The 27,276-nt window shown below is 39.3% G+C and overlaps 1 protein-coding gene across 2 annotated transcripts in view, besides 2 other annotated features; it reads left to right on the top strand.

Annotated features, from left to right (window-relative positions):
* TRAK2 (trafficking kinesin protein 2) overlaps nucleotides 1-27,276 on the top strand; it is a 74,252-nt gene that overhangs the window by 2,043 nt on the left and 44,933 nt on the right. The gene's annotated exons all lie outside the window — the stretch shown is intronic.
* Nucleotides 24,136-24,636: an enhancer, noted in NCBI's record as "H3K4me1 hESC enhancer chr2:202289503-202290003 (GRCh37/hg19 assembly coordinates)". NCBI's record gives its function as "activates a minimal SCP1, AML or CMV promoter by ChIP-STARR-seq in primed H9 embryonic stem cells {active_cell/tissue: H9 hESC(primed)}" and the evidence as "EXISTENCE:reporter gene assay evidence [ECO:0000049][PMID:30033119]".
* Nucleotides 24,637-25,137: an enhancer, noted in NCBI's record as "H3K4me1 hESC enhancer chr2:202289002-202289502 (GRCh37/hg19 assembly coordinates)". NCBI's record gives its function as "activates a minimal SCP1, AML or CMV promoter by ChIP-STARR-seq in primed H9 embryonic stem cells {active_cell/tissue: H9 hESC(primed)}" and the evidence as "EXISTENCE:reporter gene assay evidence [ECO:0000049][PMID:30033119]".

Below are 27,276 nucleotides of genomic sequence, written 5' to 3'. Positions count from 1 at the left end.
CACTTAATCACTTTAACAAACCTATCACACTAATCTGAGGCTCAAAGACTTGCTTATGTAACAAGGGGAGATTTAAATCTAGATCTGCCTTGCTTCCAAGTCACAGATCAGGTAACTAATACGTACTTCAGAAATTATAGACTTTAAAGGTTGAGTGGTTAAAGAGGATTGTCTAGTGTTATTGTCTAAGACTGGTTCCAACACACACCTTGGACATCTGGAATAAGTCCTGAACCCCTGCTTTAGTACTTTTGAACAAACTGATTCTCTCTGCCTACAATTCCCATTTCTTACTGAACTGCTCAGTAAGACCCGAAAAGCCCATTCCAAATCCATCTCACTTATGTAAGAAATTATAAGACTGGACTTTTATCAAAAGGTTCTTTTCAGTTTACAGGTTTTGTGAGTCTGCAAATAAAAATATGACCCTGCTGGGTGTGGTGACTCACACCTGTAATCTCAGCACTTTGAGAGCCCGAGGCAGGAGGATGACTTGAGACCAGCCTGTTCAACATAGCAAAACCCCATGTCTACCAAAAATAAAAAATAGCTGGGTGTGGTTGTTTGTGCCTGTAGTGCCAGCTGAGATCAAAGGATCCCTTGAGCGATGATGGCACCACTGCACTCCAGCTTGAGTGACAGAGTGAGACGCCATCTCTAAAAAAAATTAAAATACGAGCAGAGAAGTGTTATTCTCCACTGAAACTTTCTTTGCTTTAGTGCCCCAAATATGTTAAATACCAGTATAAGGAATGAGACAGATAATGTCTTATTTCATGTTTATTGTGAGCTCTCATTATATTATCTGTACCAGTTTTGAACCTCTTTAGTTACCATCCTGTTTAGTTGGTAAGAAATAGGAGGCAAAAAGGTAATAGTCACATTTAAATGACTTAGTAATTAAAAGAACTAAATTATTCATAGTTGAGTCATTATCTGTTCAGATCTGCAGTGTTCTTATAATAATAGGAAACATTTATGTAATACTATGTGTTAGATAATGTTTTACCTATATTAACTTATCCTCACAATAGCACTGAGGTGTTTTTATAGATAGGCAACTAAAGCAAAGAGAAGATAGTAAATATACCAAAGGTCATGTAGCTACTACATGGTAGTACTGAGTGTCAGAGAAGACAAGATCAAAATCTGTAATCTAACATTTATTGAGAACCTACTGTGTACCAGCCCCACAGCTGGGTGCTTTCATTATGAGTTAGTCATTTGTCTTTACAACTACCTTATTTAAAATGGAAGTTCAGCATGTAATGACTTGCTCAGAGTCACAGATAAGTAAACTGTGGAATCAGGATTTGAACCCATGCTTGTCGTACTTCAAGGTTCCTGTTCTTTCTTTCATTTTCCTTCAGTGATCAAATCTTTATTAAACACCTTCTGTGTGCCACACACTGTGCCAATGCTAGGAATTTAGTCTTTGCTCTTAAGGAATGTAGTTTGAAGAAGGAAAGAGACAATTAACATAGTGTGTTGAGCAATGGGATCACAGCTTGCCGAGGTACTTTGGGAGCACAGAGAAAGAACACTGAAGTTACTCTGGAGTGGGAAGGCTTGGACCAGTCTTGGGAAAACAAATGGGAATTAGCCTGGGCAGAGAAAAGGGGAAGGGGTTGTTATGGGCTGAATTGTGTCCTCCCAAAATTATATTGAAGCCCTAACAGCCGTAACCTCAGAATGTGACTGTATTTGGAGACAGGGCTTTGGGGTGATTAAGTTCAGATGAAGCCGTTAGGGTGGGTTCTAATCCAGTCTGACAGTTTTCCTTATAAGAAGGAAATTTGAGCACAAAAAGAGACACAGGAGTTGCACACACAAAGGAAAGACCATGTGAGGATTCATCAAGAAGACCAAGGAGAGAGGCCTCAGGAGAAACCAACCTGCCAACACCTTGATTTTGGACTTCCAGACTCCAGTATTGTGAAAAAATAAATTTCTGTTGTTGAAGCCACCCAGTCTGTGGTAGTTTTTTATGGAACCCCTAGCAAACTAACAAATAGGTGTTCTAGGCAAAAGGAATGACATACAAAAAGGCTTTAAGCTGTGGTTAGGTGATAGAAGTTGACATACAAAAAGCCTTTAAGCTGTGGTTAGGTGATTGAGGTTTTTTGGTGAAGAGATAAATGTTGAGAGAAATGAAACTGGAGACTAGGCTGGGGCTGGATTAGGAAGATTTTACATGAGATGCCAAGGGGCTTAAACTTTATCCTAAGGAAGATGGGATGGAGGTGGTTTGTAGCAGTGGAAAAGCATTAGATTTGCATTTTAGAAAGACTAAGACTTGTAAAGGATAAATGAAAGGTAATAAGACCGGAGACAAGGTAACCAAGGTAGCTAGTGCCACAGGATGCTGAACTAACAGTTTTCCCAGAATATTGAAATGTCTAACTAAAACAGAGCCACTGTTAATATAACATTATAAAGGGCACAGCTAACCCTTAGGGTGTACATAAGAAGATAGGGAAAGAATTTGTATATAGCTGTTTGTACCCAGAGGCTGTCTTTATTTTGACATTTTGCTTTTCCTTGTATAGATCATAAAGCTTTATACAACTATCAGAATATTCAGATTTTTCCACTCTAAAAAGTGATCTTATGTATTTAATAGACACTTTTATGGTGCTGACACAGATTTAAGCCAAATTCTTTGACAACCTTTTGAAATACCTACTATTCATTTTAAACGTAAACATACTGAAGCACAGAGAGATTAAGTAGCTTGTCCAAGATCACATAGCTAACAGGCAGCAGAGTTAAGATTCAAACTCAGTCTGTCTTTAGAGTCTGTGTTCTTGGCTTTACACTGTGCTGTTGCTATATGATATTTATCTAGCTCTTTATTTGTGAAAAGAGGGCAGAGTAATACAAAAATAAGTATGTTTGCTGTAAGAGGCATGCAGTTTATCAGAGGAGATAAGGAACAGCTCTAAGGTTTTAAAAACTGTTTTAGAGAAGAGCAGAAAGTGTTCGGAGGCAATACCTCCTTCAAGTTGGGGTTTCTGGGAAGGCCTGTTGGGAAAAGTGGCATTGAGCTGGTGTGGGAAGCATGGCTAGAATTTGGATATGTAGAATGGGGAGAGGACATTAAAATTAGAAGAAATAGCATGGACAGAGTTACAGGACTGAGAATTTCCTGGTGTGTCTAGGAAGCTAGTAAATGCAGTTCTTTCTTTTGGCTGGAATATGTTGTGTGGTTGGGGAAGATGGAGAAGCTAGTTTGCAGGGAGGGGAAATGTCTGGGGAAGAGAATTCTCGGGGAGTGAGGGGCAAGAGAAGTTGTAAGGTTTCAAGCCTGAGTAATTGAGGCATATGCCAGATGTAGTTATCTTTTAGGAGAGGAAAAAGTTCATCTATCCCCAACTCATCAGTTAACAGGTCCTGTTTTCACTATCTCACAAACCCGTAAATCCTTCTTAAAATTTCCATTCACCTAGTTTATACCTTTATTAAAATAATCCATGCGTAAATGTGATAAAATTTTCTAATTATTTTTGTCTCTAATCTCTCCATTCCAAAATTTATCCTGCATCCTGCATTTACATTTATTTCTCTCAAATGTCACTTCTATTTAGAAATGTGTTCCCTGCAGGATCAAGTTCAGACTTCTTAATCTGAACTAGTCAAATTTAAATCTCCAAATACCTTCCCCATAATTCTTCCCACTCAAATTGGTCTGTATATGCTGCCAACCTGGCTCTGTCTGCTACTTGCTGTTGGATATTATCATTATTATTTTCTCCTACCAGATAGTCTCCTCACCTATCCAAATCTTTTCCTCCTTAGGGAGTCCACTTAAATCTTACATCCTGTGTGAAGCCAGACCACCTCAGCTAGAAAAGAGCTCTCTCCCGACAATTCTGTTGTAACACTCATCAAATATTTATTATCTGGTACTATCTTATTTTCTTAGATTTCTTAGCTCATTGGATATTAGATCTAATCCAGATCATTAGAGCTGTCCCTTTTGGAGCTTAGACTTCTTAAATCTTTAACCTCCCTTTGGGCAGAGGCTGTTGTATACTACTATTTATCTTTTTTTAGTACTTTTGGTTTAATTCAAGTGGCATTTGTTGAAAGCTGTTCAATGAACAGCTGTTTGACCAGTTGTTAATTGAGGTCATTGTATTGAAATTTTCTTTTTCAACTGGCTGCTTAATATTTATATATAAGTGATGTTCTAGCTTTATTCTTAGCTTTACTACTGACTCACATAACCTCTTGAAGATACCCTGTTTAACTACCCCGTATTGTGGTTTATTCATGCTAGAAAATGAGCGTACAAAGTCTGCTGGTGGTATAGCAGTGGAACGAATTCATTTTGTAAAGATCCTTGAGGTCCTTGGAGCTTATCTATATTTATTTGTCAGTGTTTGCCAAACTTTGAGTTCTTTCTTTTTAGAAAGCTTTTTGACAAGTCACAAAAAAGGAAGGAATGATTAAATAGAGTCTAATTTAAGAGTGTTATACTCTATTGTGTAACAATGGAGTTGATGAATTGTGCATGTTAATGGTGAAAGAATTCCCCCACCAGTTTAGCTAATAGTTCATTTCAACACCAATTATTTATGGAGTTGCTTGAGCTTCTGGCATATTATATTCCTCTTCTGATCAGCAAGGAGGAGAGAGAAAATGGCACCCTCTCTTTCCTTTCAAGAAAAAGTAAAGTAGCCTCCTCTGCCTACCTTTGTTCTCTAACTTGGCATCTAATTTGTTTCTTTCACACATATATTATAATTTTGTATATTATTACAAATATATTATTACAATTTATGTGAAATTATAGTGTGAAAGAAACAAATTAGATGCCGAGTTAGAGAACAAAGGTGGGCAGAGGAGGCTACTTTAGATCAAGTAGACTGGTAAGTTTTAAAATGAGACTTAAATGTGAGAAGGAGTTAGCATATAGAGAACAAGAGAGAAAGAGTATTCCAGGTACAGTGAACAACAGTTACAAAGGCCCAGAGTTAAGAGAGTGATGAAGAATTAAAAGAAGTAACAAAAGGTCTGTGTCTCTGTGACTGAGTATGAGCAAGGAGGAGAGTGGTACAAGATGAGGGAGGAGAAGCAGGCAGGGGCCAGACTAGGCCAGACCTCACAGACTGTGATGAGAGGTGTGGTTTTATTGTCGTTACTATGAGAACCTTTGGATTTTTTAAGTATTATTATTATTTTTTATTTTTATTTTATTATTTATTTTTTTGAGACAGAGTCTCACTCTGTCACCCAGGCTGGAGTGCAGTGGTACGATCTCGGCTCACTGCAACCTCTGCTTCCCGGGTTCAAGCGATTCTCCTGCCTCAGGCTCCCAAGTAGCCAGGACTACAGGCACGTGCCACCATGCCTCCTAATTTTTGTATGTTTTTGTAGAGATGGGGTTTTACCATGCTGTCCAGGCAGATCTCGAACTCCTGAACTCAAGTGATCTGCCCACCTTGGCCTCCCAAAGTGCTGGGATTACAGGCGTGAGCCACTGCGGCCGCCCTGGATTTTTTTTAAGAAGGAGTTTAGCTTTAAAAACACTATTCTTGCTGCTTATAGAGAATGGAGAAGAACCCTGTTTAAGGCCATGATTAAGCATGGAGCCTTGTTAGGAGGTTTGTTGGTTCATAGTCTAAGAGATGATGATGGCTTGAACTAGGATGGTGGAAGAGAGGATGGAGAAAAGTGAGTAGATTTGAGGTATATATTGGTAGTAGGGTGTACAGGATTTGTTAATGGATTGGATGTGACAGGATGAGGGATGGAGGAATCTAGTATTCAGTGGATCATAATCAGCCTGTGGGAAATTTGAGTGGAGTCAAGAAGTCTGTCTGAAGAGCCAGATTGGGAGTCACTAACACTAAAAAGATAATTTAATCTGTGGTAGTGGTTGGTTGGCAAAAAGGTAATGAAAAAGCAGCTACAACAAGAACAATACAAAACGTGGTCACAGTTGGAACTCTGGAAAACACTAACATTTAAAGACCAAGGGGAGGGAATGGGATGATCCAGTGAGGAGTTTGAGAATGAGCATTGTAAGATCTCTCTCTCTCCAGGAGAGCCAAGGAAGGGAAGTTGAAACAGGGAGTAGTCAACAATATAAACCAGAGATGACATCAGATAACAATTAAGAAGTCATGATTGGATTGATTAGCAGGGACTGTTGATGACCCAAGGAGGGTGGTTTAGGATGAAATCAGGTTGTAGTGGGGTTGAGGTATGAATGAGAGGTGGGAGAGACAAAATGAGAGTATTTGAAGAAGCTTGAGTAAGGACAGAGGGTAGGTAGAGGGGAACTCAAAGACTTGGGAAAGGTAGGGGTTTTTTTAATTGTAGTTTTTAATAAAATAAAAGAATTTGAGCATGTTTAATAAGCCAAAGAAGAAGGTGAAACTGATGGAGGATAGGGATAATTAATGGAGCAAGGTTTAGAGAAGGCAGGAATAGGACTGTTGAGTTATATTTAATTACTTTTTAACTGGGTATACATATACACATGGTAGAAAAATTGAAAGGTATATAATAAAAAGTAAGTTTCTCTCTCCTTTCTGTCTTCCAGCCACCCAGTTCTTTCTCTAAGAGGAATACTAATTTACACTCTGATCAACAAGTGTGCAAGTGCATAACTGAGATTATGTTTGTCCATAATTCTCAGTTTGGAGCGAAAGCTAGCTATAGATTACATGGATTTATCAGTGGGAGGAATGAGAATAAGAGAAATGGAGAACAGATAGAGGGTCAGAGATAAGTGAGAAAAGATGTGGTATGGAATTGTCTCAGAAAAGAAAGGATGTTTAAGAGGATAATGGGGGGCGTGCCTGTGGAGTGAGGCCCACAGTTGATGACTGAATTTGCCTCATCCCTATTCCACATGGTGTTGTGACCTTTTCAGAAGTTAACTGCCTCTTTATGTTTAAAATGCAAGTCAATTTAGAAAATTGATTGCTCAAAAATTCATCATTTTTGTAAAGTAAATCATGTTTGGGGTCCAAGCGTCAAATCTCTGCTCTCTGCCCTTTTCTTTTTTTTTTTTGAGATGGAGTCTTGCTGTCGCCCAGGCTGGAGTGCAGTGGTGCGAACTCGGCTCACTGCAGGCTCCGCCCCCTGGGTTCACGCCATTCTCCTGCCGCAGCCTCCCGAGTAGCTGGGACTACAGGCGCCCACCACCTTGCCCAGCTAATTTTTTGTATTTTTAGTAGAGACGGGGGTTTCACTGTGTTAGCCAGGATGGTCTCGATCTCCTGACCTCGTGATCTGCCCACCTCAGCCTCCCAAAGTGCTGGGATTACAGGTGTGAGCCACCATGCCCAGCTTGCTCTCTGCTCGTATCGCTTTCCACTATAGGCACCTACCTCTCTTTGGGGTTATTCAGGCCAGTGGTGTAAGTTGAAACAAAAGGAAGTTTGTTGGTTTAGAAAGAGCACACCATCGGCCGGGCACAGTGGCTCACACCTGTAATCCCAGCACTTTGGGAGGCCCAGGTGGGTGGATCACGAGGTCAGGAGTTCGAGACCAGCCTGGCCAACATGTGGTGAAACCCCATCTCTACTAAAAATACAAAAATTAGCTGGGCGTGGTGGAGCACACCTGTAATCCCAGCTACTCTGAAGGCTGAGGCAGGAGAATCGCTTAAACCCGGGAGACGGAGGTTGCAGTGAGCTGAGATCGCGCCTCTGCACTCCTGCCTGGTCGACAGAGCAAGACTCTGTCTCGGGGGAGAAAATTAAAAAAAAAAAAAAGAAAGAGCACACTGTCTGGAGGAAGAAAGGAGGAGGAGGAAGAGACTAGAAACCAACTAAAATGCTTCTGAGATGCTACTACTGTTCCCAAAGCATGTAATTTAACAACTAAAAAAACATTTCAACCATTCTTAACTTTCTCAGCAAGTACTAGGCCAAACCACTGAATTTGCCTTTGTTTTATTTTTAGTTACAAAATTGAAAGACTACAAATGAAGCTTTTATTAGCAATTGTGAGTTTTTAAAAGAAGATATCTGACCATTTCTCATTTGATGTGGGGCTTATTTTAAATGCATTCATGATCAGCTGCAAATGCTCTTAGTGGAAATTGTGATAAAACTAAGCAATGAGCCAAATGAATGTTGAGTTTTGGCTTTCCTATGAGACTGACAACTAGTTCTTTTTAGTTATTACAGAAAAGTGTATAGTGTGTCATTGCTATAAAAATGATAAAGCACCCTTTTAACACCAAACTCTTTTATGCAGATTTTTTCATAAAGCACATAAGTGTTTTTCTTTAGAATATTCAATCTTAGCTTAACTGTGTTTTTCAAGGCAATTCATTTAGTTGATGTTGTATTGAAAATGTATTAATATCAACTTTGTTCATTAAATTACTTCTGTAACTCAGTGTATTGATATTTTTAATGATTAAGCTTCTAGGTAGTAGGCACGTATTTTGCAAGACTACTGTGTGTCAGTTGCTGTTAGGTTTTGGACATAACAAAAATAAGGTCCCTTCCTTTGAGGAACTTGCAGTGTAGTGAGGGAAGAATGACTAGTGGGCAGCCATCTTCTGGGATCATCCAAGAAAGGGAATCAATAAACACTGATTAACCCATTTATGCCAGAGGTTGCAAATTTTTTTGTGTGAAAAATCAGACTTTGGCGATGACCTTGAGCAGTAGGATATGACTCCCACAAGCTTAGCATTCCAATAATGGAACAGTAGGCATAAATGGGTTAAAAGCAAAAATTACAGTGAGGGATGTTAAGATTTCCTAAACCTTTTTTCCATATTTATAATCCACTTTATATTTCCCCTAGCAATTAACAGTAAAATTCTCACAAAAGAATAGAGGAAGAGCTGTCTTTTCTAGGGAGACAGTTAAGAAAGGACAGAGTGTGTTCATGTTCATAGCTAGGCTAGGTAAAAGAATACCAGGTGAGAAAAGCACTTGCTGACAGTGCCAAAGGAGGAGGAGAAAGCCAGCTAAATCCCTGGTGCTGGAGGGATGAAAGAAAGAGGTATTTGGGAAGTCAGCCAAGGGCAGAAAAACAGGTCCTGGAGTTCAGTCAAACAGACACCTTATGGGTGTTCTGATAACCTGCTTATCTGGTTTCTCAGCCAACAGCGAGTTAGAAAGGGGAGAGGCAAGCTAGCAACAGTAAAGTGTAGTAGTTGATAGCCTCACAGTGAGGGAGGAAACAAAATTAGAAATGGGCTTAAAATCTTAAAAAAAAAATAGCAATTTGGGATTATTTACTATAGGGAGAAAGAGCTCTTTAACTATGGATGGGTGCAGACTTGTTGGGGTCACATATGAGCGGGTTATTTTCTTTTTCTTTTTTCTTCTTTAAGAGGCACTTTTTTTTTTTAATACTTTAAGTTTTAGGGTACATGTGCACAATGTGCAGGTTAGTTACATATGTATACATGTGCCATGCTGGTGTGCTGCACCCATTAACTCATCATTTAGCATTAGGTATATCTCCTAATGCTATCCCTCCCCCCTCCCCCCACCCCACAACAGTCCCCAGAGTGTGATGTTCCCCTTCCTGTGTCCATGTTTTCTCATTGTTCAATTCCCATCTATGAGTGAGAACATGCGGTGTTTGGTTTTTTGTCCTTGCGATAGTTTACTGAGAATGATGATTTCCAATTTCATCCATGTCCCTACAAAGGACATGAACTCATCATTTTTTATGGCTGCATAGTATTCCATGGTGTATATGTGCCACATTTTCTTAATCCAGTCTATCATTGTTGGACATTTGAGCAGGTTATTTTCTATTTTGCCATCTTGGCTACACCACCCAGAAAAAGCTCTTTAAAAGTTTATAATCCTGGAGGATATCACTGTAGTCATTATATTATAATACAGTAATTGCTCTTCTTAGTAATGATCCTGAGTCATCAAATTATTTTCTGTCTGGCCTAAGGACTTTTTTTTTCCTCCCATGGCAGTTTATTGGACTTTCCTCGTTATCATGTGTTAACTTCAGGAGGAAAACATCTTACCATCAATGTTTTTTAAAATAAGAAAACCATGGAAAACCACAAAAAAAAAAAGTATTAAAGATTCTGTGGTATTTTTGCCATCATGTTGTCAATCCCATCTCTAGGGAATGTTTGCACCTTCAGAGTAACCGATGAGCTTAGTTGGTATAGCCCTGCACGTACACCTACTTTACTGATACCCATGAGAGACCTATGTAGACTTTTGTAAATTAGGCTAAGAAAGCTTTCCATTTCCACATGTTCTAACAGTCTCATATTCCTATGCAGTTCATTTTCCTCCCTACTATAGACTACAAGGATGTAATTTGACTACAGCCTGATTCATTCATTTAACAGATATTTATTGAATGCCTGTCATTTGCCAGATACTAAGATAGAGGTAGACTTAATTTATTGGAATAGAGATTTATTTTTTATCTATGTTCCATTTACTACTTTTAGCAGTTCAAAACAAGTAACAGAATGCTTCCCAATTTATGGTAATACATCTGTATTATTTTCTTGATATTGTAGAATTACCCACTTAAAAACAGAACCAAAGTCAGATTTGGAGTTGTCTCATTAAGAATTGTGTGATGTACATACAACACACACACAGATTATTCTGCCTCACTGTAAATACACCCAACTCTGGAACCAGATAAGTCATTTCTAAAAGCAAATATAAATTGCTCAAGAACAAATGGTTGGGGGGAGCGGATTACTTGTTTTTTTTCTTCTTCTTCTATATTCAGTAACCACTATGTGTTTTTAAAAAGTGGAGTAGAGACATAGGATTGTAGTAGAATTATCTGAGGCTTTTGCAAACTACACACACACTACTATCCTCACACTCCAGTCCCTTGCTAGTAAAGCTCAGAGGATAGAGGCCTCAGCTTTGGAAAAACATAGTTGGGTTTTATTCCTGGCTCTTAGTATGGACAAGTAATTAACCTCTAAGCCTTAATTTTCTTGTCTGTAAAATGATGACAGTAATAACATTCACCTCATGGAATTGTGAGGATTAAAGGAGGTAATCATACACAGAAAGCATTTAACATGATGCCTGGCACCTAGTAAGTACTCAATCAGCTAACTATTATTAGGAAAGACTGATTTGCAACAGAATTGAGAACATATTTCTTTATCATATGCATTTCATTTGAAACACAGAAGGCCCTTGTGTCTTTATCATAAATTGTTTACCATCATTAGCTGGTCTTCAAAACCTTCGGAGTGCTAGTTTCGTTTGTTTTATTGTTCAGTAAAGGCACGAATTTCACTAAAATGTTTTGATTTTTGCTTTCAGTGTCAAAGAGCTAGTTCCTTTTGCTCAGGAAAAGTTTCACAGGGTAGTGGTGTCTCCTCTTCAATTGTGTAGGTCTGGAAACTGAAGTTTTCTCACTGTACTGAGTTGATAAGGCCCTGAGAAAATGATACACTAATCAAATACATTAAAGAATAATAAATAAGCCAGGATGTGTGATCTTGATATACAGTACAACTGCCAAGTGGACTACATATTTGGGTCCCCATAGAGTTAGTATATTTTTCCCTTATAAGAAAGTCTGCATGAAAAACCAAGTTGCTAGGTTTGTGTGTACATTTAGAGGTAGAGGACATTTGAAGCATAAGGACCGGTATGCTGAGAGTAGGGAGGGTGTGCAGAATAGCAGTATGCGTTCTAAGAGCCACATCAGCTCAGAGTAGAGAGGGTTAAGACTGGAGGACACGGTAGGAAACTATGGCCACGGACAGAGAAGGATTAAACTAGGGCCGTAGCAATAGGCTTGAAAAATAAATTGACAGAACTGGTGACTATATAGAAAGCAGGTATTTAGGAAAGGAAGGATGACTCTTAGATTTTTGGCTCTGCTGATCAGGTGAATTGGTGATATCAACTAGTTAGTGAAGCAGAAAAAGAAAAATATTTAATGGGAGAAGGAAAAATGAGTTCAGTTTAGAATGTGGTGGATTTATGGTAATGATTATAAATTGATACTGAGATTTCCAGTATAAAATCACAAAATGCCAATTTGGGTTGAAGATAGAGACTTGGAGAGTAACTATAGTGTAGTTGGAAATTGAGGCCTTTGAAGTAGATGAGATTCCAGAGGAGAGAAGGAGAGAGAGAGGGCCCATGAGAGAATCCTGAAGAACTGGGGAGAATAGCCATTAAACGCAGGTAGAGGAAGAGAGTTCTCAAATTTCCACAGCCTCCTATTTATTATAGCCTTCAAGCTCTGAATCTAATAACCTCCTGGATTGCAGATAGCCAGTAGCCATATCTCAAAAAATTTACCTGTTCTTATTTGCCCTGAAGTTCATGGGCAAACCAAAGGCGTCTATTGCATGTTAATTCTCCCTCAAAAAGTAACCTTATCTTCAAAGCCCTTGAGTTGTCTGTGACAACTGGTTTTGAAAAACAATGAGTCTTATGTCTAAACATACTGTAATTAGAAAGTCTCTCGCCTAGTAGAATTACATTACTAAAATAGGTATGTCTTTAATATGCAGATAATTCTAGAATAAATCTAGAATTATATGTGTTTATAATACTCCATCCTGACCATCACTCACCGCCATTTTAAGTTACCCTCTGTTCTGGTCATATAAGATTGCACGTCCTGGTGCCACTGATTACTTCGTTGACTTGAAGAGCTATATTGCCTATAGTTTTTCTTTTGACACTGATCATATGGGGACTTCTGCTTCTGAAGGCCTTAAGGACTATAATTTTTAAATAACTGAAGGATTTAGAGTCATCTTAAGCCACCAAAAGCAAATTTGTGTTTTATTGTTAGAGAGGACAAAGAGAAATGAGGACATAGATTTTCTACCTCTTCTTGACTTGTTGCTGTTTTTAAAATTTGTATTTTCCTTACTGCTATGTGAAAGTGCCATTTCAAGGGGTCTTCCTAGCTATTTGATTTGAGGATAAATTCTGAAGAGCAGATTATACAGAAATATTCTTAAATCTGTTAGCACAATTGTCATCTATTCAGTCTGTTTCTAATCTTCTGTGAAGTATTTCCAGGTTTTCGGCCAATGGTGTCTTTTTATTGAAACTAGCGCCTAAATTTTGCCAGTCATCATTGAAAGAAAATTCTTTCTGACTTGTTCAGGAAGGATTTATTTGTTTCTAGAAGTACAGTACATATTTTAGTACCCACAGATTCTATTGTATAAAATGCCTCTGCTTGAGATGTATTCCCCCATTTTTGGTTAAGAGAACAGGAAATCCATGAATTCTATGATGCCATTTACTCTGCATTCCTCATTTTTGAAGACCTATACTTGTTTTTTTTCCTTTTTTAATCGTTACTTTAGTCAAAAGGACATAATTTTCTGTTGAAAAATAAAAAATATGGTAACTATATTTTATTAATATCCTGGAATATAAATTATTGACAGCAACTGCCCTTGTGAAGTAATATTTTAATATGTCTAACCCAAGTGTCAGCTGAGTGTCCAGACCCTTCAAGAGTGAAATAGTTGCTGTAAACCTTCAGTTGCATGTGAAGGTTTCATATGGGGAAGCCAAAACCCTCCTTATGATTTTTGCAGATTTCTGGTGTTCTCTCTGAGCTCCTGCCATCACCATGAGACCTCTCTCTCTTCCCTCTCCCTTTTAGGAGAAAGAAAAAACAGTTATTTCCCTGTCTCTTGCAGAGCAGTTTAGCCTTCTTTTTGATGCTATGAGGCCTTACCTTCTACCTTAAGAGACTTTTCCAAGTCTTTTCCCAAACAAAAAGTATTTCTTTCCTAAAAGAAGCACTGTTGTCAGCTGTTAAGATAATAAAATGTGTACTTTGTTAGGTATGATTTGGTAATAATAACCCTTTTATTAACACTTAATTTCTCCATTAATCTAACTTTCAAATATTTAAATAATGCATACTAAACTCAGTCTCCATTCTTGAAAAGTTATAAGAAAGCCTATCTTGAAAAGGCTTTTGCAGTGTTAGATGTGAATATTATTATATAGCCTTGGGTAGCTTTTATGCCAAATGGCAGAGAGAAGATATTGCTCACTTAAGAGACTACAGAATTTCAGGTAGAGTTTATGTCAAGTTGCTCTTTCTTTTAAAGAAATAAATCAAGGCCAGGCATGGTAGCTCTTGCCTGTAAACCCAGCACTTTGGGAGGCCAAGGCAGGCAGATCACTTGAGTTCAGGAGTTCAAGATCAGCCTGGACAACATGGTATAACCCCATCTCTACAAAGACATACAAAAATTAGCTGGGCATGGTGGCAGGTGCCTGTAGTCCAGGCTACTTGGGAGGCTGAGGTGGGAGGATCGCTTGAGCCCAGGAGGCGAAGGTTGCAGTGAGTGGAGATCATGCCACTGCACTCCAACCTGGGCAACAGAGTAAGACCCTGTCTCAAATTAAAAAAAAGAAAGAAATCAAGAATGCCTTATGAATGTGAGACTGAAGTCTACCTGTTTGAGTTTTACTTTTAGTATTTTTGAGCTATCTTATTTCCTTTGACTAAACTACATATGACCGTCACTAAATTATTTTTGACTGGCAAATAATAATTTGCTTTGTTATTCAGATTTCTAAGCCAATCATGACCTTTTATAGAAACAGTGAATTTGAAAACAAATGGATGATGGGACAAAGCATAAAACTAGGGATGTATAAATATTAGCTAATGCTGTATTAAGCATTTTTATGTATCTCCTTTGATACTGTCACTCTGGGACATCAAGCAAAAGATAGAAATCCTGTCCAGAAGTATAGTTTGAAAACATGTTGATATTGCTTATTCAGTTGCTTATGCAATTTCTTTAAGAGTTTGGTGTTCTTTTATTCTATAATCCAAAAATATCATGATTTTAGGGTATAAATCTATAGGACAGAAAGTCTTTATATGGTCTTATAAATCCTTTGAAACTCTTCTGCTTGAAACTTGAAACTTATGAACTTTATGGATAGGGACAAAGTATACTCCAGAGCAAGGGATTTAGCTGTGCTGATCATCAACAGATGAATATTTTAACTCGGCCATTATTATTATTTATAGCATGTTTGTTTTATATGTGCATAGTTTTGAGGTATTCTGTATTACAAATCCCATTTTTGTCCCTGAAAGCAGTGCTAATGATAGATTACTGGGCACAAAAGTAGAAATTGTGTAAAAATTTGATAGTGAGAAACACCGATTTAGATATATCATTGGACGATAAGAATGATTATGGGCCGGGCGCAGTGGCTCACGCCTGTAATCCCAGCACTTTGGGAGGCTGAGGTGGGCGGATCACGAGGTCAAGAGATCAAGACCATCCTGGCTAACACGGTGAAACCCCGTCTCTACTAAAAATACAAAAAATTAGCCGGGCGCGGTGGCGGACGCCTGTAGTCCCAGCTACTCAGGAGGCTGAGGCAGGAGAATGGCGTGAACCCGGGAGGCGGAGGTTGCAGTGAGCCGAGATAGCGCCACTGCAGTCCGGCCTGGGCAAAAGAGCGAGACTCGGTCTCAAAAAAAAAAAAGAATGATTATGAAGGGCAGTCCCATGATGTGTGACAAAAGATGTACCCATGCAGCTGACAATCAGCCAGAGGCGAAGAAATGTGACTGACTGAAATGGTTTTGGCAGAGGATTGTTGTTAAAGTGGAATGCCTGTTCAGTCAAAGGTGAAGGTTAGGAGTTCAAGAACTTTAAGCATGGTGAATTAAAGTGCTGCTGTGGAAACTTATCAAAAACCGCGGTTGACACCATGGGTTCAAGGCCTTTTCTTATCTGCAGGTGAAGCTCTAATAGGGATTCCTTAGCTGCCAGAGGTTACCGCCCTTTTCCTGTTAGTGAAGATTGTGTCAGGGAGGGGTTGCCTGCCTCGGCAGATATTCATTATAAACAAACAGGGCAGTTTTTAAAATGCCCAAAATATTCAACTAGGAGGAAATACTGACCCCATAAACCTAAATCTCACACACGGTTTTGGACGTTTAAACGAATGGATTTAACAGCCTTTTGGAATTCAGCCTGTTTGTAAGTAGAGCGACCTCCATGTATTTCATATTCTGACACCCTACTTATCTTTAAGTCAAATGGCAGTTAAAAAGAGGGACAAAATATTTGCTGGTCACAAATCCTATTTCCTCAGGGTCAACTTTATAAATGCTAATAGAACAGCTGTGCTGAATGTAGCCAGTGTAGCTTTCCCGCGGCATCGGTGCAGCTGGATAGTGATATGTGGCCTCTGCCTTCCTGAGGTCTGCTGCTTACTGTCCAGGCTGGGTTTTGCTGGTGATGCTCCTCCCGCCTTTTTTTCAGCTCTTAGCACTGAAGCCATGATAGAGTCTTTAAGTGGTTTAATATCTGGTTTGTAAATTACTGTGGTTTTTTGGTAAACTTTATCTGTAGTGTAGCCAGATACATTAAAATTAGTGAGTCTCTGTCTTTGTCAAAAATATATTATTTTATGAGGACAAGGTAAATTATCATTTTTTAAATTAGCTTATCTTTTGTCTGGATTAGGTTGCCACTGCCTAAGAGAGCTATTGCTGAATTGGTGATTGGCACTGTTCCTGCATGCATTTCAGCAGCCCACATGTGTTTCAAATTAATCCCCAAAGTATTGCTTATAAAATAAAAATTTTGAATATATTTCCAGTGTAAATGTTTCACTAAATAATTACATTTTTTGCAATCCCAGGCTCTACGCCCAGCAGAGGTGAACTTTCCCAGAGTTGTTTTAGCCTTCTCAATAAGGCTGTTTTGGCCAGAGTATCCTGTTTTAAGGAAGTAGCAAGATATTTTTTAGGCACAGGGCCTATATTTAGGCATTCACTGTTGACCAATTAGTTCTGTGGCTGGGCTAAACTATCTAAGTCATTAGCCATGTTGTGTCCTGCCAGCAATATTTATGTCAATGACATGTTTTGGTTGTTCTTTTTAAGTCTCATCCTTCTTAAAATAAGTTACTTGATTATTTTGCTTTATTTTCTTCTTCTTAATGTGCATGGATTACAAAGGCTGGCTTCTTGTTAAATGATACATGCCTGATTGGTTGTTTTATAAAGAAAAGCAGTGAAGTTGTTCCTAAAAAGGTTGAATAAAGATCCGGCAAAGAAAGTAGATGGCCCTGAAAAAAGTGCACAGAATACGTGTGCACAGACTAGGAAAGGCACTGAAAATGTGTCATTTGTGTTTGCCAAAGTTTAGTTTCTACTGCATTTAGGACTCTGTGTAAGCTTTTGGTTTATTCATGCATCCAAGAGACAGGAAGAGAATGATTAATCACACTAAGCTAACGTCACTCATCAGAAGGCAGGAAGTAAATTCTTTCTTAGGTTGAAAGAAGATGCTATCAAGCAATTGAGAGTAGGCCGTAGATTGTGCCCAACATTGTGTAAGGTACAATAACAATAATAATAATTATAAAATAGTACTTTGGTGATAGAAATACTAATAATAACCAGTACTTGCATAGCATTTACTATATTCTAAGACATTATTCTAAGACCTTTACATGTATTAACTCATGTTATTTCCCAATAACCCTCTGAGGTAGCTGCTACTATTATCCTGTCATAATTCACTTAGTCCCCATAAAGTAGATCCTGTTATTAGGCCCACTTAACAGATGAAAAAATGAGGTCAAGTAATTTGTCCAAGATCACCCAACCAGTAAGTGGTGGGGCTGGAGTTCAAATTTAGGCACTCTAGTTCCAGAATCCACATTCTTAACCACTGAGGTAGGCTGAATACTGGCCCTCAAAGATATGCAGTTCTTGATCCCTGGATCCTGTGAATATTACCTTATATGCCAAAAGGACTTTGCAGACATGGCTACATTAAGGATCTTGAGACGGAAGATTATGCTGGATTATCCAGTTTTACCTTAAATGTAATCACAGGTGTCCTTATAGGAGTGAGGCAAAGGAGACTTGACAGCAGAAGAAGACAGTGTAACAGTAGAAGCAGAGAGAAACTTGAAGATGCTACGCAGCTGGCATAGAAGATGGTGGAAGAAACCCTGAGCCAAGTAATACAACTCTAAAAGCTAGGAAAGACAAGGGAATGATTTTTCCCTGGAGCCTCCAGAGGGAGGGGGCATAACTCTTCTAACACCTTGCTTTTGGTCCATTGACACTTTTCATTTTTCTGACCTCCAGAACTGTAAGATCATAAATTGGTGTTGTTTTAAGCCACTAAGTTTGTGGTAATTTGTTGTAGTAGCAATAGGAAATGTATAGCCACACTGCTATGGAGAAAGATGCTAAGTATAGTTAAGACTTTTTTGTTATTAGCAAACCTTCCTCAGACCCATGAAGGAATGAGCTTTAGGAATCATCACTCTTGATAATCCCAGCTCTATGGCACTTGAAACTTTATTAGCAGGAGCACAGTTTCTTAGTCCTTATGTCCTTCTATGTGAAGATTACTCAGAGGTATCTTCAGACCGCATCTACTCCATACTTAAACGTGGTAGTCATTCTGGGTACACAGTTGGCTGTTGAGCCAGAAATTTAAGAAATACTAGACAGGGAGGGGTTCCAAGATGGCCAAATAGGAACAGCACCAGTCTACAGCTTCCAGCGTGAGTGACGCAGAAGACAGGTGATTTCTGCATTTCCAACTGAAGTACCCGGTTCATCTCACTGGGGCTTGTTGGACAGTGGGTGCAGCCCGCGGAGGGTGAGCCAAAGCAGGGCAGGGCATCGCCTCACCTGGGAAGTGCAAAGGGTCAAAGAATTCCCTTTCCTAGCCAAGGGAAGCCATGACAGACGGTACCTGGAAAATCGGGACACTCCCACCCTAGTACTGCGCTTTTCCAACAGTCTTAGCAAAGGGCACACCAGGACATTATATCCCATGCCTGGCTCAGAGGGTCCCATGCCCACGGAGCCTTGGTCACGGCTAGCACAGCAGTCCAAGATCGAACTGTAAGGTGGCAGCGAGCCTGGGGGAGGGGCGTCCGCCATTGCTGAAGCTTGAGTAGGTAAACAAAGAAGCCGGGAAGCTCAAACTGAGTGGAGCCCACCACAGCTCAAGCAGGCCTGCCTGCCTCTGTAGACTCCACCTCTGGGGACAGGGCATAGCTGAACAAAAGGCAGCAGAAACTTCTGCAGACTTAAACGTCCCTGTCTGACAGCTTTGAAGAGAATAGTGGTTCTCCCAGCACGGAGTTTGAGATCTGAGAATAGACAGACTGCCTCCTCAAGCGGGTCCCTGACCCCCGAGTAGCCTAACTGGGAGACACCTCCCAGGAGGGGCTGACTGACACCTCATACAGCCGGGTACCCCTCTGAGACAAAGCTTCCAGAGGAAGGATCAGGCAGCAACATTGGCTGTTCTGCAATATTTGCTGTTCTGCAGCCCCCGCTGGTGATACCCAGGCAAACAGCGTCTGGAGTGGACCTTCAGCAAACTCCAACAGACCTGCAGCTGAGGCTCCTGACTGTTAGAAGGAAAACTAACAAACATAAAGGTCATCCACACCAAAACCCCATCATGATCAAAGACCAAAGGTAGATAAAACCGCAAAGATAGGGAGAAACCAGAGCAAAAAAGCTGAAAATTCCAAAAATCTTCTCTTCCAAAGGAATGCATCTCCTCGCCAGCAACAGAACAAAGCTGGACGGAGAATGACTTTGACAAGTTGACAGCAATAACAAACTTCTCCAAGCTAAAGGAAGATGTTTGAACCCATCGCAAAGAAGCTAAAAACCTTGAAAAAAGATTAGACAAATGGCTAACTAGAATAAACAGCATAGAGAAGACCTCAAATGACCTGAGGGAGCTGAAAACCATGGCACAAGAACTATGTGACGCATGCGCAAGCTTCAGTAGCCAATTCGATCAAGTGGAAGAAAGGGTATCACTCATTGAAGATCAAATGAATAAAATTAAGCGAGAAGAGAAGTTTAGAGAAAAAAGAGTAAAAAGAAATGAACAAAGCCTCCAGGGCATATGGGACTGTGTGAAAAGACCAAATCTACGTGTGATTGGTGTACCTGAAAGTGACGGGGAGAATGGAACCAAGTTGGAAAACACTCTTCAGGATATTATCCAGGAGAACTTCCCCAACCTAGCAAAGCAGGCCAACATTCAAATTCAGGAAATACAGAGAATGCCACAAAGTTACTCCTCGAGAAGAGCAACTGCAAGACACATAATTGTCTGATTCACCAAAGTTGAAATGAAGGAAAAAATGTTAAGGGCAGCCAGAGAGAAAGGTTGCGTTACCCACAAAGGGAAACTGGCACAAGACAGGGATGCCCTCTCTCACCACTCCTATTCAACATAGTGTTGGAAGTTCTGGCTAGGGCAATCAGGCAAGAGAAAGAAATAGAGGGTATTCAATTAGGAAAAGAAGAAGTCAAACTGTCCCTGTTGGGAGATGACATGATTATATATTTAGAAGACCCCATTGTCTCAGCCCAAAATCTCCTTAAGCTGTAAGCAACTTCAGCAAAGTCTCAGGATACAAAATCAATGTGCAAAAATCACAAGCATTCCTATACACCAATAACAGACAAACAGAGAACCAAATCATGAGTGAACTCCCATTCACAATTGCTTCAAAGAGAATAAAATACCTAGGAATCCAACTTACAAGGGATGTGAAGGACCTCTTCAAGGAGAACTACAAACCACTGCTCAACGAAATAAAAGAGGACACAAACAAATGGAAGAACATTCCATGCTCATGGATAGGAAAAATCAACATCGTGAAAATGGCCATACTGCCCAAGGTAATTTATAGATTCAATGCCATCCCCATCAAGCTACCAATGACTTCCTTCACAGAATTGGAAAAAACTACTTTAAAGTTCATATGTAACCAAAAAGAGCCTGCATTGCCAAGACAATCCTAAGCCAAAATAATAAAGCTGGAGGCATCATGCTACCTGACTTCAAACTATATTACAAAGCTACAGTAACCAAAACAGCATGGTATTGGTACCAAAACAGAGATATAGACCAATGGAACAGAACAGAGCCCTGAAAAATAATACCACACATCTACAACCATCTGATCTTTGACAAACCTGACAAAAACAAGCAATGGGGAAAGGATTCCCTATTTAATAAATGGTGCTGGGAAAACTGGCTAGCCATATGTAGAAAGCTGAAGTTGGATCCCTTCCTTACAGCTTATACAAAAATTAATTCAAGATGGATTAAATACTTAAATGTTAGACCTAAAACCATAAAAACCCTAGAAGAAAACCTAGGTAATTCCATTCAGGACATAGGCATGGGCAAGGACTTCATGTCTAAAACACCAAAAGCAATGGCAATAAAAGCCAAAATAGACAAATGGGATCTCATTAAACTAAACAGCTTCTGCACAGCAAAAGAACCTACCATCAGAGTGAACAGGCAACCTACAAAATGGGAGAGCGTTTTTGCAATCTACGCATCTGACAAAGGGCTAATATCCAGAATCTACAAAGAACTAAAACAAATTTACAAGAAAAAAATCAAACAACCCCATCAAAAAGTAGGCAAAGGATACGAATAGACACTTCTCAAAAGAAGACATTTATGCAGCCAACAGACACATGAAAAAATGTTCATCATCACTGGCCATCAGAGAAATGCAAACCACAATGGGATACCATCTCACACCAGTTAAAATGGCAGTCATTAAAAAGTCAGGAAACAACAGGTGGCTGGAGAGGATGTGGAGAAATAGGAATACTTTTACACTGTTGGTGGGAGCGTAAACTAGTTCAACCATTGTGGAAGACAGTGTGGTGATTCCTCGAGGATCTAGAACTAGAAATACCATTTGACCCAGCCGTCCCATTACTGGGTATATACCCAAAGGATTATAAATCATGCTGCTATACAGACACATGCACGTGTATGTTTATTGTGGCACTATTCACAATAGCAAAGACTTGGAACCAACCCAAATGTCTATCATTGGTAGACTGGATTAAGAAAATGTGGCACATATACACTCTGGAATACTATGCAACCATAAAAAAGGATGAGTTCATGTCCTTTGTGGGGACATGGATGAAGCTGGAAACCATCATTGTGAGCAAACTATCGCAAGGACAGAAAACCAAACACCACATGTTCTCACTCATAGTTAGGAATTGAACAATGAGAACACTTGGACACAGTGGGGAATATCACATACCAGGGCCTGTTTTGGGGTGCGGGGAGGGGGGAGGGATAGCATTAGAAGAAATACCTAATGTAAATGATGTGTTAATGGGTGCAGCACACCAACATGGCACATATATACATATGTAACAAACCTGCACATTGTGCACATGTACCCTAGAACTTAATAAAAAAGAAATATTAGACAGAAGACATCATCTTTTTATCAGGCCTGAAAGCTAAGGGGGAAGCCGACAGGAGTGCGCATTTGAGTGTCTACTGTATGTTGGGTACCAAACTAGGAATTTGTCATTTTTATTTAGTTCTCATGTCTGACCCTTCTTATAAAGGGTGGTTATTAATATCCCCATCTTGAAAATGAGGAATGAGACTCAAAAATGTTAAATAATGGGCCTAAGGTCAGAAAAGCAGTAAATTAGGTTAAAATTCAGACTTGTCTAATGTCAGGCCACATCCATGGAACTATGTTCAGTACCACTACTCCAAACTGATCTTTCTGAGGAGCTCAGATTTAGACAGGGCATGTCCAAAGGGCTTATTTAGATCTAAAAAGTCTCCAGGAAGAACATACCATTGCCAGATCACCCTGGACTTGGTGCACAGTCTGCAGGCTGAACAGGTTCCTGAATTGCCTTGGAAGTCAGCATTTTTCTGGCATGATTCTTTAGATGGACTTAGTTCTTAGTTCAACTTGGTTTTCTCTATTCTGCTATGCAAGAATTAAGACTAAACCATTAACAAAACCTCCAAAGTTAATTTAAAGAGCAGTTTTCTAGAACAGAGGTCCCCAGCCTTTCTGCCATCAGGGACTGGTTTCGTGGAAGACAATTTTTCCATGGACCAGTGGAGATGAGGAGGGTGGTTTGGGGATGATTCAAGCGCTTTACATTTATTGTGCACTTTATTGCTATTATTATTACACTGTAATATGTAATGAAATAATTATACAACTCACCATAATGTGGAATCAGTGGGAGCCCTAAGCTTATTTTCCATCAAGTAGACGGTCCCTTCTGGAGGTGATGGGAGAGAGTGACAGACCATCAGGCATTCGATTCTCATAAGTGGGCAACCTAGATCCCTCGCACGCGCAGTTCACAGTAAGTTTCGAGCTCCTATGAGAATCTAATGCTGCCGCTGATCTGACAGGAGGCAGAGCTCAGGCAGTAATGCGAGTGATGGGGAGCGGCTGTAAATGCAGATGAAGCTTCACTTACCCACCTCCTGCTATGCAGCCTGGTTCCTGACAGGCCACAGATGGGTACAGTTCTATGGCACAGGAGTTGGGGACCCCTGCTGTAGAACAAAGATGTAGAGTCCTTAGGCGAAACATATAAAATTTTTGTGTTCCTATGTGATATATATAAAAACAAAAATAGGAACTAAAATAAATGGTAAATGTATAATCAAATCAGCTAGTATGTAACAGAGTGGTGGGCATAGTTCTCAAAATTATCATTAGATTTTCGCAGTGGTCTTTGATTCAGATATGATTAAAAGAACCGCAGCTCTGTTTGAGAATCAGTGTGGACCAGTATGAGAGATACTTTGCTTTTATCCTGTTCCTTTTCATCCTTCCCTCCTCACTCTCTCTCTCTCTTTTTCTCTCTTCACAAACAAGTATATAACATTATTTAAAAAAAAAAAGCAATGCTTTCTGGAGTGGGGCACGGTGGCTCATGCCTGTAATCCCAGCACTTTGGGAGGTCGAGGTGGGTGGATCACCTGAGGTCAGGAGTTTGAGACCAATTTGGCCAACATGGTGAAACCCCATCTCTACTAAAAATAAAAAAATTAGCCAGGCGTGGTGGCAGGAGCTGTAATACGAGCTACTTGGGAGGCTGAGGTAGGAGAATCGCTTGAACCTGGGGGGCAGAGGTTGCAGTGAGCCGAGATCGCACCATTGCACTCCAACCTGGGCAGCAAGAGTGAAACTCCATCTCAAAAAATAAAAATATAAATAAATGCTTTCTTAGAAATTGAAAATAACATTTAAATGCACTTACGGATGTAGAAAGTAGAAGTCTGTTGTTTAGTTTACCTAAATTCTGTGGAAATAGTGATCTAATTACAAGTATGTAAATGTGGAAGGAAACCCTTTTTAAGAAGTTAATCTAGGAAATCTTTGATTTAGGTAGGTGGTTATTTTATGACTGAACTATTTTTCTACTGTAGAACAGGTGTTGGTCAACTTTTTCTGTAAAGAGACATAGTATTCTAGGCTCTGTGGACTATGAAGTCCTTAAAATTACTAAGCTCTGCTGTTGTAGCATGAAAGCAACCAATTGACAATACTTAAGTAAGTGTGGCTGTATTCCAATAAAACTTCCTTTGTGGACACTGGAAATTGAATTTCATAATTGTCACATGTTACATAATATTATTCTTTGCCTTCCAGCCATTTGAAAGTATAAAAATCATTCTTAACTCACAGGTTGTACAAAAACAGGTGGCAGGCCGGGCGCAGTGGCTCACGCCTGTAATCCCAGCACTTTGGGAGGCCGAGGCGGGCGGATCACGAGGTCAGGAGATCGAGACCATCCTGGCTAACACAGTGAAACCCCGTCTCTACTAAAAAAAATACAAAAAAAATTAGCCAGGCAAGGTGGCGGGTGCCTGTAGTCCCAGCTACTCGGGAGGCTGAGGCAGGAGAATGGCGTGAACCCGGGAGTCAGAGCTTGCAGTGAGCCGAGATTGTGCCACTGCAGTCCGGCCTGGGCGAAAGAGTGAGACTCTGTCTCAAAAACAAAAAAAAAACAAAAACAAACGAACAAAAAAAACAGGTGGCAAGCCAAATTTGGCTGTGGGCCAAATTTGCTGACCATGCACTAGATAGCCTGTTATACACTAGTGCATAGTTATAAACTAGTGGCCAGTTACAAACGAGTGCATGATTTGCTGATCATTCACTAGATAGCCGGTTATACACTAGCACATTTATTCTTAGATTTCCATTGCCATTCTGTTTTTTTAAAATGTATCACTTGATTCCTAAACTATAAATCTAGGTCTTTGGAGTGTTAGAATTTAAAAGACCTTGATAAAAATTATATGTGACATAAAGACTTACATAGCAGGTGATATTTGGTTCCCTACCTAAAAATGATCATTTCCCCCTTCTTGGTTGGCAGAGGCCCTAGTTCAGATTTTGCTCAGGTAGCCAGTGATTGTGTACTTCAGAGAAGATTGCTTTCTTCTTCCTTCCAAGTTCAAGGTGTGACTCTTTATTGGTTTGATTCATTATAATTCTATTTCCTTTATAGTGACTGGTTTAGGGATGACAATTCTGGACAATACGATATGTGGAAAAGAATTCAGTTGCATACAATGGACTTTTCCTGGAATATGAAAAATGAATTTTTGACAACTGGAATTAAAATTAAAGTATCTGAGTTAATATATTAGAGTTTTACTTCATGTTGCACTGGGTAACACAGATTACTATACTGGCAAACATATTTCAAGAAAATAGTTATGTATATAAAATATAATCTTTTTTTTCTTTACCAAGACTGATTTTATTTAAAATACACTTGGAATAAATGACTATTGATCTAAGAATTTCCCTATCACTTTTAAAATTGTGTATTATATACTTTGTATTATATAGTACAGTACTTAGTTTCAGTAAAAGACATGTAAAATTTGCCATTTTAACCACCTTAAAGTGTATAATTCAGTGAAATTTATTATAGTGTATTTACAGTGTTGTGCCACCATCACCACTAATTCATCAAATTTTTAAAAAAATTTTATTTTTAAGCCAAATTTAGCAGTGAGGGACTATATACCAACTTTAATGACACTAATGTTAATAAGTTCTGATAACCCACTGCCATCGAACCAGCTGTAATTGATGAAATTTTCATCATCCTAAAAGGAATCCCCATACGCATTAAGCAATCACTCCCTATTCTCCCCTCTCCCTAGTTCCTGATAACTACTAATTGGCTTTGTCACTATGGATTTGCCTATTTTGGATATTTTATATAAATGGAATCATGTGGCTGCTTCTTCCACTTAGCGTGTTTTTAGGGTTCACTCACATTTATTCAGCATGTATCAGTACCAGAATCTTAAAGTATTTATTAAAATTTTCTGAGTTCAAATATAGAAAAATTAGGGCTGGGTGCAGTGGCTCATGCCTGTAATCTCAGAGCTTTGGGAGTTGAGGCAGGAGGATCACTTGAGGCCAGGAGTTCAAGGCTATAGTGAGCTATGATTGCACCACTGCACACCAGCCTGGGTGACAGAGCAGCAGAGCAAGACTCTGTCTCGTGTGTGTGTGTGTGTGTGTGTGTGTGTGTGTGTGTGTGTGTGTGTGGTGGTGGTGTTGCTGTTGTTATTCCAACATAAAATTACAAACTCCTTTTTTGGGAAGGACTGCTATTTATTATGTCTCTTTTTCTTTTAGTAAAATGTTTTATCATTTACAAAGTAATAGAAATTGGTAAGAAATGGAAACCCCATGCCAATAACCACAGAAGTGTTTGAAATTTTACCAGTCTGTGGAGATCTGAAAGTCTAGGTGTTAGGAAATCGTGGTCTGTACTCACTAAACTCCACTCTTAGCATCTCACTTACCGACACCTTGCAGCTTGTCTTTGGATCCAATCTCTTGGCTGAACTGGTTTCTGGAAAGTTATCATTGATTTTATGGTCCCTTACCCCTTTTTAAATAAACCGAATTTTCCCTTTGACTTTGTATAACGTTTAATTCTGTTCACATTCTATCTCTGAAACTCTCCTCCCTAGGATTTGCTCAAAGTGCTTCTCTATTCTTCTGCCTCAGTAACCATTTTCAGTCTCCTTTATTTACTTTGTTCCTTTCTACTTCTTGAGGGTAACTCTCTTGTAAAACATTGAATATTTATGATGCCTGTGAAGAGCAGGCATGAGAATGAATTAACTATAAGTAGAAGCCACAAGTTGCCAAGCAGAGACTGTCTTGATATAAATCAAATAAGTAGAATTGAACAGTTTTACTGATGACAGTTCCTGATTTTTTTAAGTATGCACATATATTTAGTACATTGTATTCCTTTGTATGTTCCACTGTTATTAAACCATTTATTTATAGACATTTAGTTCCAGTTGTGTGGTATGTGCTTTTTTTTTCCCCCCAAACCAATACCGTATGGGCATCCTTATCCCTACATCTTAGCACACTTCGTGAGTATATCCATTGTGTAAATTCCTGGTGGTAGAACTGTTAAGTTACA

Source organism: Homo sapiens, chromosome 2 (genome assembly GCF_000001405.40).
Source record: "Homo sapiens chromosome 2, GRCh38.p14 Primary Assembly".
NCBI lineage: Eukaryota > Metazoa > Chordata > Mammalia > Primates > Hominidae > Homo > Homo sapiens.
The sequence above is the reverse complement of the archived record's forward strand: the minus strand, read 5'-3'. Positions and strand labels throughout refer to the sequence as shown.